A 12,811-nucleotide genomic window follows, 5' to 3' on the forward strand; every position below is an offset into this window, starting at 1 on the left:
GATGGATAGGTTAATCAGCTTGATTTAATCATCCCATATTTGGTGTGTGTGTGTGTGTGTGTGTGTGTGTGTGTGTGTGTATATACACACACATCACATTGTACCCCATAAATGTTTATGATTTGTCAATCAAAAATAAAGAAAAGCAAGTTGAAAGAGCATTGAGAGAAAAGTTAGGCATTCAAAATGCAGTATCTCCCTGAACTGTAGTTTCTTATTTGTATAAAACACAACAAAACAAAAAATCATGTTGCATATCCTAAATATATATAATTTTTATTTGTCAGTCATACTTGAATGAAGCTGGGAGGGTGCGGAGCTGGGTTGGCGCTGCCTGGGGAGGAAGAGCCGTGGGCGGGATTGGTCTAGGCGGAGGCCTAGGCCCAGCCTGCGGTGGTGGGTCTTGCCGCGCCGGGGCTGCTTCCCGCCCTCCCCTCTGCTCCGGTTTCGCCCACTTCCCCTTGCCAGCGGGCTAGGCACGGAGGAGACCTGCCGGAGCCACGGAGGATGAGGTGGCCCGCAGTGCTAAGAAGATGGACGAGATAGTGCAGGAGAAGAACACGGCCGGAGCACTGGGTTTGTTAACCGAGCTTCAGAATGTTCTGGAATTACTGCGGTCCACAGGAACTGGAATGTTACTTAATGTTAGTCTCAAGCAGAGTACAGATGAAGAAGTTACATCTCTAGCAAAGTCTTTCGTCAAATCCTGGAAAACGTTACCAGATGAGCCATCAACTGAGAAAGACCCCAACGAAAAGCGAATAGAACCTGCAATGACATCACAGAATAGCAAAAGAAAGTAGCTCCAGCGGCAACGTAAGCAGCAGAAAGGATAAAACAAATGCTTGAGATATTTGTTTCATCTGTTCCTCGGCACGAAGCGCTTCTAATTCTGTGCGGATGAAGTACAGGGAGATGCTTGCTGCAGCTCTTCGAACAGGAGATGACTGCATTGAAATGGGAGCTGATGAGGAAGAATTAGGATCTCGAATTGAGGAAGCTGTAGATCCAGAAAGAGGGAATACAGGCATGAAGTACAAAAATAGAGTCCAAAGTAAGATATCAAATCTTACAGATGCAAAGAATCCAAATTTAAGGAAAAATGCATCGTGTGGGAATATTCCTCCTGACTTACTTGCTAGAATGTCCGCAGAAGAAATGGCTAGCGATGAGCTCAAAGAGATGCACAAAAACTTGACGAAAGAAGCCATCAGAGAGCATCAGATGGCCAAGACAGGTGGAACCCAGCCTGATTCGCTCACATGTGGCAAATGTAAAAAGAATTGCACTTCCACACAGGTACAAGCCTGCAGTGTTGGTGAACCAATGGCAACGTTTGTTGACTGTAATGAATGTGGAAATCAACAGAAGTTCTGTTGAGATGGAAAAATTGGCAAAATATCTGGACCACTAAGAAAACGGATTTTGTAATTAGCTTAAACCTAGGACAAGCAACTAGTTTTCCTGCAAATCAGATTTTTAGAGCAACATACATCCCGCGGGTTAGGCTTTGTTTTTGACCCAGCATCCCTTCCTTAAGTGTCTTCTGTAGTTCCTGATCAGTAGGGAGACCACAGGATAATTGTATGGGATCTGTTTTAAAACGTTTTTTTTTTTTTCATTTTTATAAATAAGTCGATATTAAACTTTTATAAATTAAACTTCTTGCAGTTTATTTTTTTTCTTTCTTAAAGGAAAATACACCTTAATTTTTTTTTTTTTTTTTTTTTGAGACAGAGTCTCACTCTGTCACCAGGCTGGAGTGCAGTGGCGCAGCTCACTGCAACCTCCACCTTCCAGGTTCAAGCTATTCTCCTGCTTCAGCCTCCCGAGTATCTGGGACTACAGGTGCACACCACCACACCAGCTAATTTTTGTATTTTTAGTAGAGACAGTGTTTTACCATGTTGGCCAGGATGGTCTCGATCTCTTGATCTTGTGATCCGCCTGCCTTGGCCTCCCAAAGTGCTGGGATTACAGGTGTGCGCCACCACGCCTGGCCTTTTATTTATTTATTTATGTATTTATTGAAATGGAGTCTCACTCTGTTGCCCAGGCTGGAGTGCAGTGGCACAATCTCGGCTCACCATAACCTCTGCCTCCTGGGTTCAAGGGATTCTTCTGCCTCAGCCTCCTGAGTAGCTAGGTCTACAGGTGTGCACCACCATGTCCTGCTAATTTTTGAATTTTAAGAAGAGACAGTGTTTCACTATGTTGGCCAGGCTGGTCTCTAACTCCTGACCTTGTGATCCACCCACGTCAGCCTCCCACAGTCCTGGGATTACAGGCATGAGCCACTGTGCCCAGCCAACTTTTTTTTAACAGTGTGAAATATACACAGTAGAAATTCTGTTATTCTCTGTTATTAGTACATAAATGGAAATACTTTTTTTCCCATATTGGCATGTATCTACAAATATTAAAGGAGGAGAAAAGGTAATATACTTTTAGGTTTACCACATATGGTGTGTATTCAAATAACACGTGACCAGCTTATCAAAATTGTACATAATACTTGAACTAACTTATTAATTTGATTTTCATTATTATGTCCAAAAGCTTGGGATGCTAGATACTACTTTGCATCTGTAACTAACTATGATCCTCATTTCTTGTAATTTCTTGTGCTTGTATATTGCTTGTTCTTAATAGATTTTACTTTGGAAACAAGACTTTGTTGAGATCAGTTTGGTTTTGTTGATAATTTACCTGTTTGACTTCATAATGTATTTTAGTTTCGCAGAAGAACACTTGTAGATTAGAAGGCTTTTCATAAATCCCCTCACAGGCGAAGAGGAAAACTTCCCGCTATTTTATTTCCCTCATAGGAAGACATACTGGAAAGAAAACGCTTAGCATCTTAGTATAGAATAGCTATTGTGAACAGTTCATGACTTGATCTTGATATGGAAATCTGTACTGACCAGTGATTAAGCTTAAGGATTGTAAAAATCATTAAAGCTGTGGTCTTTTCGTGTGGAGGTTGATAGAAAATATTTTTGTCCTAAGTCTTATTTGCTGACTTTTTCTGTCAATGAAGGAGGTTGTTGAACAAACTGAATCTGTGGGCTATAGCAAGTAGCTTTACAGCAGATCTTACCATGAAGTTTTACTTTGTGCTTATTTAAGTGGGTACCACTTTTTCTGTTTAGAATAATTAAAAAATGATTTTCACAGGTTCCTTGGGGTACGCTTGCTCTAGCACAGCTTGAAGGCCGCTGTTGCAAAGTACATTTTATCATGCTGAATCAGCCTTCTATCACGTACCTGTAGAAAGACCTCAGTACATGCTTTGCACCCTCCTTTGCACCCCCTTTCAATTTCTTATTGCAGATCATTTTGATGTAATATGGAAAACAGCATTTTAAAATGTCCACGTTAAGAATTGGCCCACCGGTGCCAACTCACCTCTATTTTGTTAGTTCATAGTTGAAGATTTTGTTTTATCGTTTTCAAAAATAAAGTATATTTTTGGAAGAATGAATTTAAGAATGAAGAAAAGCTATGAAAAATGCTGCAAATTACCATATATGTGTATTTTGATATGCAGATGTAGCAATATGCATAGAGAGAGTCTAGTAAAGTGGTCTTCAACTCAGGGAGATTTCAGACCAGGGGACATTTGGCAATGTCAATAGACATTTTTGATTTTCATGCCTGGGTGAATAGGCCAGGGATGCTGATAAACAACTCGTAACAAAGAATTAACTGGCTTCAAAATCAATAGGACTGAGGCTGAGAAGCCCTGGCTGGAAATTGCTATAAGAATATTGGGAATGATCTCTAGCATTGATAGGGACATTAGGATGCTGTGTAGGGAACAATTTTTTAATTTTTAAAATTATTTATTATTTATTTATTTTTAAAATTTGAGACAGGGTCTCACTGTGTTGCTCAGGCTGGAGTGTAGTGGTGCGATCTCGACTCATTGCATCCTCTGCCTCCCGGGCTCAAGCAATCCTCCTGCCTCAGCCTCCTGAGTAGCTGGTACTATAGGCGTACATCACCACATCTGGCTAATTTTTGTTGCCTGAGGCTCCCACAGCGCTGGGATTACGGGAATGAGTTGCTGTGTCAGGCCTTTTTGTCGTAATTTAAACAAAGTACTTTTTTTCAACAGGTAAATTGCTGGTTCCATACCTCTTCAAAAAAATATAACAAATGAAAGGTTTGAAAACATCTGGGTCACTTCTCCACCCTCACCCCTATAATATGCTTTGTTGGTTTCTTTATTCACCCTTCCAGATATATTTATGCATACCAAACCAAGTAGAAATACAGCTTCTTATTCTCTCTTTTTCTTTCCCACCATAAGGTACATATTATATTTGGTTTAGCACTTTTTTTCTTTAACAATATGCCTTACACTGTTGTATTGACAGTTGTATTGAAGTCATTTTACAATCATATATATATATATATATATTTTGAGACAGAGTCTCACTCTGTTCCTTAGGCTGGAGTGTAGTGGAGCAACATTGACTCACTGTAACCTGTGTCCCCCGGGTTCAAGTGATTCTTCTGCCTCAGCCTCTTGAGTAAGCTGGGATTACAGGCACGCACCACCACACCTGGCTAATTTTTTGTATTTTTAGTAGAGATGGGGTTTCACCCTGTTGGCTAGGCTGGTCTTGAACTCCTGACCTCAGGCGATCTGCCCGCCTCAACCTTCCAAAGTGCTGGGATTACAGGTGTGAGCCACGGATGCCTGGTCTTACAATCATATATATTCCTTTGAAAGTAAAACAAATGAGAAATATTGAGCCTTGGTTGGGAGGGAGTTGGAATTGTCAGGAGGGGTTAGTCATTTTCATTCGCAAAGATAACTGTTCCACTTCTAGCAGCTGGGAAGCTAAAGAATAATTTTAAAATTGAGACAAAAATAGCTATTGCAGGCATAGAAGTAGGTACCAGTAGATGATGAATTTGCCTTCTCAGTACTGATGTTGCTCTGTTGAGAACGATAATTCCATGTCTTTAGACATCAGTGCTTTTTATCCAAGAATACCTCTCTAAAGCACTCCAGTGCTCACATGTCTGCTCCTACTCACTGCACTGAACTTAGAGGGTCCACGTGTCCAAAGGGCAGGGCACCGAGGGCAGCCTCTTGTCAAGAGAAGTGGAAATTGAGGCCCTCAGTCCTTCAGCCCGTGGAGCTGAAATTCTGCCAACAACAGATTCTTCCCTCGTCCAGCCTATCAGACACCCAGATTACAGCCTCAGGGGGGCCCCTGAGCAGAGGATCTGCTAAGCTGTGCCTGGACTCCTCATTCATAAACACTGTGTGATAAGAAATGTGTGTTGTTTTGAGCCGCCAAGTTTGTTGTAGTTTTTATGCAGCAATAGATAACTATCACAGTTGTGAAATCACCACTTTTCACAATGAGTAAGAGCCAAAGCAGGTGCCAATCACTAAAATTTCCTTGTCAAGGAGGGCACTGTAATGTTATTCCACTGGGGAAGAGAACTTGGAGCAGACTTCCTGAGTTTTAAGGAATCACAGGAAACAAAATCACCTCCACTACAAGCTGGGACCTGCAGCGTGTGTGTATGTGAGCGATGGAAGCGGGACCTGCAGGGTGTGTGTGTGTGAGCGATGGAAGCTGGGGTTTACAGGGTTGTGTGTATGTGAGAGATGTGAGCTGGGACCTGCAGGGTGCATGTGTGTGAGAGATGTGAGCTGGGACCTGCAGGGTGCGTGTGTGTGAGCGATGTGAGCTGGGGTCTGCAGCGTGTGTGTATGTGAGCTATGGAAGCTGGGGTCTGCAGGGTGTGTGTATATGAACAATAGAAGCTGGGGTCTGCAGCGTGTGTGTATGTGAGTGATGGAAGTGCCATCCTGATGTGTGTTTTTGCTCCAGAATAGCTTCAGATCTGGGGTGTAGTCATTCTTGAAAAAATTTTCGAAATAGATAGCAGTGATGGCTGTACAACATTGTAAATGTCGTTAATGCCACTGAATTGTAACTCGAAATACTTATAATGGCAAATGTTACGTTACATATATTTATTAAGAAAAGATAAATACAAAACAGTGTAGCGTCATATTCTCAACAGTGCACAGCACATTCTCCAACCTCTAAAGGGAAACTTGCGTGGAAAGCCTGTGTTCTTTCAAATCCTGGCAGTGGAAGAGTAAATTGGTAAACACCTGCCAGTTGGGCAAAAAACAAAAAGCCCAGGTGTTGCCTTAGGTTTTTATTTTTCCCTCCAGGTAGGAAAAGAAGGGGCCCAAGCATTCCCAAAGGTGAATTTCAGGTGGACCTAAAATGCTAAAAGTTTGTGCTGTTCTCTTCTACAAAAAGTTAAATTAGGTACTAGGGCTGGGGCAAAGCATTAGATAAACTGGAAAAAAGAAAAACTTCTAAAAACAAGAAAAAAAAAGAAGAAGAAAGAAAAGAAAAACCCATTTCAGATGCGAGAGCCTCCCATCCCCCATTCCATGTTAACTCTCAAATGCTAATTGCACTGTTGGAGGTTTGCGTAAACTTGCAATGGAATGGAAAATTTTAAAAACTTGAAATGAAAGGGAGTTTTTAAAAGCTGGCTTTGTGTCTTATGGCTACTGCATCTAGATAGATGATAAGAAACATATTCTATGCTTGTAATTTCATAAACATTGGAGGAATCATCCTGATCAGGAAAGCTGCCAAAAGCAAACAAAACCCAGGATGGTATACAACTGCCTTGCTTGCTGCTGCTGGTGAGGGAATTGAAATGCAAGTTTTTGAGTATTAAAAGGAAAATAATTTCTATAACTGACAATTTTTAGTATGATTTTCACCTATGGGAGCCTCTGATAAAAGGGAGACAATATGAAAAGACAGGCACTCTCTAATACACTTTTAGAATTTTAAATATTAGTTTTTAGTTCCTAATGAGCTCTTGTAAGATCAGATGCCTGCGCCTTAGAGGCTGATAATTTTCTGGCCTCTGAGCATATTTTTGAGTGGGTCCATTTGGACTCAGCAAATAACAAGCCAAACAGGGCTTAGGAAAGCCTTGCCCGTCACTGGGACCAGCAACACTGCTTTCCCACTCTTCAGGGCTTTGGCTTTGCTACAGCGGAACAAAAGCTGTTGGCTTTTTGTGGGGAATCCTAACTCACAGATCCTAATTGCCTGGACCTGACTCTGAGATGAAACCTTATACTATCTGCTGCTGGCTGTTTCAGCCTCAGCACAAACCGTGCTGAACGAAAAACTCTGTAAGCACAATAAACAGAACTCAGACTCTGGTATCATTGCAGATTAGGACATGCCTGCATGGGATCCCAAACTATGAAAACTTCATGGATGCTGGCTAGACTGTGTGCATCACACACAAATGCCCACAAGAAAGGGCTTGTTCTCTTATGGGACCATCTGCAATCACACTTCTGATCAGCCTCATATGTCTGACCCAAAAACTAGTTTCATTCCTAAACTTGTGATTTCTGCCCCAAACAAGTTTGGGGTGGACACATCACAGGGACTCTGAACTCCCTGCCCACTCCTGGCAGATTGGACTCTTGACCCCCTTTGGGGGTCTTGCTGCTGTCTGTTGATTATTTTATTTGGCTTTCTGGATTACTTGCAGCTTGCAACAACAGCCTTCCTTATGTTTCTCCTGGTGTACGCACTTCAGTAAAGCAAGCTGATCTGTTTAAACCCATGTTGAATTTTTTTTTTTTTTTTGAGATGGGGTCTGGCTCTGTTGCCCAGGCTGGAGTGCAGTGGCGCCATCTCTGCTCACTGCAAACTCCGCCTCCTGGGTTCACGCCATTCTCCTGCCTCAGCCTCCCAAGTAGCTGGTACTACATGTAGGTGCCCGCCACCACACCCGGCTAATTTTTTGTATTTTTAGTAGAGAGAGGGTTTCACCATGTTAGCCAGAATGGTCTAGATCTTGTGACCTCGTGATCCGCCTCGGCCTCCCAAAGTGCTGAGATTACAGGTGTGAGCCACCACACCCGGCCTTGAATTTTTTTTTAAATTCAAGATTTTGTCCTAATTTCTGAACATGGCGTGTCTTTTAAATTGCATAATAATGTTTTCCTGTGACAATGTTTTTATTCCTCTTCCAGACAATCCTTCCTGACGACATGTCTGAATGAAAGTAAGGTATGATTTCAAAAATGTAAAGTTATGATTGCTGAAAAGGACACACTGATTTTGCAATAATGAGAGAAAAAACAAAATCCTAGTATCTGGAAGGTCCAGGAAGGGGGAAGGCATTCGTGATCTCTGTTGTTCAAGGCCGTTCCTGAAAGCTGTCTCCTCCTGTGGAAGAAACCCCCCCTGTGCTGCCTTTCCTAGCTGCGGAGAATGTTTTGAATTCAGACTGACGGCCGAGGCAAGATCACGGGGCAGGGCAGACTATTGTCAAAGAAAACCAGTGTCAGACAGAAGTTAAAGCAGCAAAGGCAACTTTTATTCAGAAGCTATCTCAGTAGGGGAAAAGAGACATCAGTACAGAACTGGGCTCTATTCCAAATAGAACAAGTACAAGTAGGAATTTATGGCCAAGGGACAGGGGTCACTGGACACAAAATTACTAAGAGGAAGCATCAGGGATAAGGGGGGTTCTGGTTAAACTAACTTAATAGATTCTCTCTCTCATTTTGGCTGGAGCAAAACTTTACTGTTCAGGGGCTCTGCTGGGCCACGTGTCCTCAGGATACCAGGCTGCTCTGCCCTCCTCTAAGGCATTCAATAATATTAGCGATTAAATAGCAAAGCTCATCCCCCAACTGTAATGTACAATAGAGGTCCCATTGTGACATTCCTGAGGAGTCTGGTCCCATGAGGTCAGGAACGCAAGAGGCAGAGAGGGCCCCCTGATGCAGAGGGGGTTAAGGCCACAAACGAAAAGGAGAAGGGATAGGGTTTGGGGGCAGCTGGGCTGGTCCAGGAACCTGGCTGGAGGCATGCAAGCTCCCTTCCCCTTCCCCCCGCACCCTCCAACTCTGTGTGTCTGGAGGAACCGGGGGGAGACCCTAAGCATGGGGATGCCTGAGGGTTTGCAGTCTGGCTGTGTGTCCATCCTACCCAGTGCTCAGGTCCTCCAGTGTTCTGGACCAGTCAGGGGGCTCCCAGGTGCATCTAGTAGCCCCTCCCATGCCAGGGCAGGGCTTTCCTTCATCGGAGGAGGAGCTGGGAAGGGCTTGACAGCGGGCCGGGCAGCCCGTTGGTCTTAAGGCCAGAGTCCCCAGGTTGGCCACGTTTGCCACATAAGAGAATAAGGGATGAAAAGGAGGAACTGGAGGATCTGTAGGCCGAGTCAGGAGCTAGAGGGTCTGGGGCTGGAGCCCGGTTAGGGGCTGGTCCAGTGGGGGTCCCGCCAGCAACAGCCTTATGGGTCCCGGCATTGGCCAGAAACTCCTTGTCCAGGCGTCAGAGCAGCTGCTCTGGTGTGTGCGGAAGACGCTGGCGCGTGTGGTGCTAAACTCTAAACTGGGGTTGGACTGGGAAAGCCAGGGTGCTTCAGGGCGGTGGGCATGGAGAGCCCAGGGGTGCTCCTGCCCGAGCCCCGCTGCCCCTGCCCTGTGGCTCCCACGAGTGCTGCCCATCTCCATCCTTGAGCCCAGTCTGCTCCTGCGCCCACCGGGCAGGGCTGAGGGCCGCAGCTGGGCTCCCCTCTCTCCTGGAGCTCCCCGGGGCCGACTCGGATCCAGCCCGTCCCGGGACTGGCTGCGCGGGGCAGGGGGCCGTCTCGGAGAGGCCAGGTGGTGGTGGTCAGCCCCCGTCTGGGTCTCTTCCTCCCGGCCTAGTGCCTCATCCTCGCTGCGGGCACCAAGGGGGCGGCTCTGGGCTGAGAAAGCTGAGGAGTCACTGTCCTCAGAGTAGGAGCGGGGATGCGGCGGGCAGCTGATCCCAGGGCCTGGGAGCCTCGGCCCCTGCTTTATGCTTTGTAAGCGAATAGGGGTCACCTAGGGTCCGGAGCGCCGGCGCTCTCTCGCGGGGACCAGGCTACCAGGGCAGGGGCTAGGGGTGGGCGACACCCTCTGCGGGGACAGGGTGCGGACCCTCGACGGGGGCGGGCGGTGGGTGGTGGAGGAGCGGCGGCGCGGGTCCTGACTGTCCAGGTAGCGCTCCAGCGGGTCGCCACACCCAGGCGCGCCGTCAGGCGGCTCCCGGGCACCCTCACAGAGATCAACAGGCCGGAGTCTCCCACGCGGAACTTCCCCTCCGAGGCCTTTATCTTGGGGAGCTGACCGGGTGCAGAGGCCCAGTGTCTCCCTCGCCAGCTCGCGGAGCATTTCGGGCTCGCCCAGATCAGTGCGCCACTGGCCGATGAAGGTGGCCGCACTGTCGCGGGCCACGAAGAAGCGCAGCGCCAGCCACCCTGTGGGCCTGGAAGGTCACACTTCGGGATATGCAGACAGCCTCATGGGTTCCCATAGACGGGCCAGCCGAGCCACTGTGGGCGGGGGTACAAACCAGGATCGCTGTGAGGATCCGGCAGGCGCTCAGAGCAGACTAAGCCGCAGAGCACTGCACCGGCCTGTCACTCAGGCCGAATGGCTGGTTTACCTGCTGGCTCTGAGAAACCTCAGTGCCTCAGTTTCCTCATCTGAGAAATGGGTACAGTAAATTACCTGCTTGGTAGGATTCAATGGGATAATTTTTAATAAGCAACTTAGCGTCTGTAAATACTGGCTACGCAGCCTTTTTTTTTTTTTTTGGAGAGGGGATTAGGGGCTGGCTGAGGCCTCCCTCACAGGCAGAGAGGTGCCCACTGTGAAGGGCTGGGACCTGGAGAGATGAAGACAACGACTGGGACCCCCAGTGGATAGGAAGGGAACCCAGGTCCCGACCTCAGGGTGGGAGACCTCCATGGTTCAGGGCTGTGCCCAGCCCACCTCCTGCGGGAAGGTACCGGTTTTTCCCTTGATCCCCCTTCCCTAAGGGCAGTGCCATCAAAAAACGACATAGCAGCAGTAATGGTATCAGTAACAGCAATGAAGTGGTTAGGGCTGAGTGCGTGGTGATATTATCTCCATTTTACAGGTGTGGAAACTGAGGTGCGGAAAGGGTAAGAGCTCGCTGGAGGTCTCAGAGCTGTGGGTGGAGCCAGGGCGTCCAGGCTGCGCCGCGCGGCCTATCTCGGCGATCCAGCAGCCAAGCCGCGAAAGCCAGACCCCCCTCAGCAAGCAGCGCCCCAGAACCGCAGGCCGTCGTTTGTGGGGCCAGAACTGATGGCCCAGGCCCAGAGGGGGTGCAGGGCCGCTCAAGGTCACACAGCCCCAGGGAACAGAGGCTGCTAACGCTGCTGTCTGGCTCTGGGCAGGGAGTGCTGGGGGTTTCCCCACTCTCCTGGTTCATCCACCGGCCCCGGGGAGCATGGCCCCTGCAGGGGCAGGAGCCAGGCCCAGCCCGCAGCAGGGAGGCGCCTGCAAGCCACAGCTGGATCTGTCGGGCCGCTGCGGCCTCCTAACGGCGGGCCGGGATGATAACGATATTGAGGGTAGGGGCTGAGGAATTTGATTAGATATCAAGGGTGATCAGAGACCTTGGTAGTGGTGGGAATTTTGCCTATTTTGACTCAACAGAGTCTTGAATAAGCAGGCCAAGGTCAGAGCCCCAGGTTGGTACCTTAAGGGCTTAGAGAGGCCTGACTAGCGTGAGCTTAACACCCTTGCAGGCTTGACATCAGGGAGTCCTGTCATCAGGGCTGACTCCATACTGAACTGCTGGGGAACTCTGAGGCCCACAAAGGAACTGTGAGAAACACTTTCTTCACCAGCAGCTGTGCTCTTAACAGTATACAACACATTATACAAGGCCTCCAACGGGCCACTGTAACTCCAAACTCTGGTTAGTGAAATTGTGTCATTTAGATAAAACGAACAAGAAGAGGGCCATCATGTTTAAACATGTAACCAGCTGGAGTCCCTGGACAGGGGGGACTTTCAATTTGCTTGGAAGCAGAGGCTCCCATTCTCACCTTGTCAGAACTTAAAACAAAGCGAGAGCAAGCAAAAAGATGGAGAGCCCTACCAAGAAACTCAAACAAAGGCAAATACCTCCACCAAGACAGGAGTTCTTTAGCATGAATGAAGACTTGTGGCTCCAGGTTCCAGCAGGTGCCCAGATCTCAAAGTGCAACCAGCTTTTAGTGAGTATCTCACAGATGTGGAAGAGACCACCAGAGCCACGGAGGATGAAGTCACATGGCTTCCCCACTAACAAAAAGGAGGAATTAGCCGGTCAGGCCAATAAGTGTTTACTCAGGAATGTGGGCTGCAACCTGGGTACCAATCAGAAACTGTACCACCCAAGAGAGCAAGGGCTCACACTGATAGAAACTTATTTAGATTACATAAATTGTTTGCCAGATTATTTCATAAACAAAGAATTCTTTAATTGTTAGTAGAAGAGTCCTTTTGCATCAGTGGGTCAGGAAAAACCTATTCACAGTTTGTAAAGACAAGGACCAGAGTTTGGAGTTACAGTGGCCCCTTGGAGGCTCATTTGACCTTTCCAAACATATATATATATATATATTTTTTTTTTTATTTTTTTTTTTAAGATACCATCTTGGAAATAAAAAGGTTTGCACTTCTCAGAATGCATGGGAAGCATACTTTAATTAGCATTCAGAAGGGATACACATAAAAAAGACCATGAAATCTAAAAGAGTTTTCCCAAGACACTGTTTCTAAATTAGTAAAAGGAAACGAGCATTTAAATAAAAATCTTCAGGAGGCTGGGCACGCATGTTCCTGCAATTCCAGCAACTCAGGAGACTGAGGCGGGGGGATCACTGAGCCTAGGAGTTCAAGTCTAGCCTGGGCTAAATATAGTAAGACACTGTCACAAAAAATAAT

At 46.8% G+C, this 12,811-nt stretch overlaps 2 pseudogenes across 1 annotated transcript, besides 2 other annotated features; one reads left to right on the top strand and one right to left on the bottom strand.

The window, feature by feature from the left end:
• On the top strand, positions 314-1,574 carry TCEA1P3 (transcription elongation factor A1 pseudogene 3; annotated as a pseudogene).
• Positions 5,158-5,775: an enhancer, noted in NCBI's record as "H3K4me1 hESC enhancer chr9:38483125-38483742 (GRCh37/hg19 assembly coordinates)". NCBI's record gives its function as "activates a minimal SCP1, AML or CMV promoter by ChIP-STARR-seq in naive H9 embryonic stem cells {active_cell/tissue: H9 hESC(naive)}" and the evidence as "EXISTENCE:reporter gene assay evidence [ECO:0000049][PMID:30033119]".
• Positions 5,776-6,391: an enhancer, noted in NCBI's record as "NANOG-H3K4me1 hESC enhancer chr9:38483743-38484358 (GRCh37/hg19 assembly coordinates)". NCBI's record gives its function as "activates a minimal SCP1, AML or CMV promoter by ChIP-STARR-seq in naive H9 embryonic stem cells {active_cell/tissue: H9 hESC(naive)}" and the evidence as "EXISTENCE:reporter gene assay evidence [ECO:0000049][PMID:30033119]".
• GAS2L1P1 (growth arrest specific 2 like 1 pseudogene 1) lies at positions 8,391-12,160 on the bottom strand (annotated as a pseudogene). The gene is made up of 2 exons (XR_007061488.1): positions 12,008-12,160; positions 8,391-10,401 (listed from the first exon to the last, which is right to left on the bottom strand). The product of XR_007061488.1 is annotated as a growth arrest specific 2 like 1 pseudogene 1 (transcript).
• Positions 12,161-12,811: the final 651 nt, after the last annotated feature.

Source organism: Homo sapiens, chromosome 9, assembly GCF_000001405.40.
Source record: "Homo sapiens chromosome 9, GRCh38.p14 Primary Assembly".
Lineage (NCBI taxonomy): Eukaryota > Metazoa > Chordata > Mammalia > Primates > Hominidae > Homo > Homo sapiens.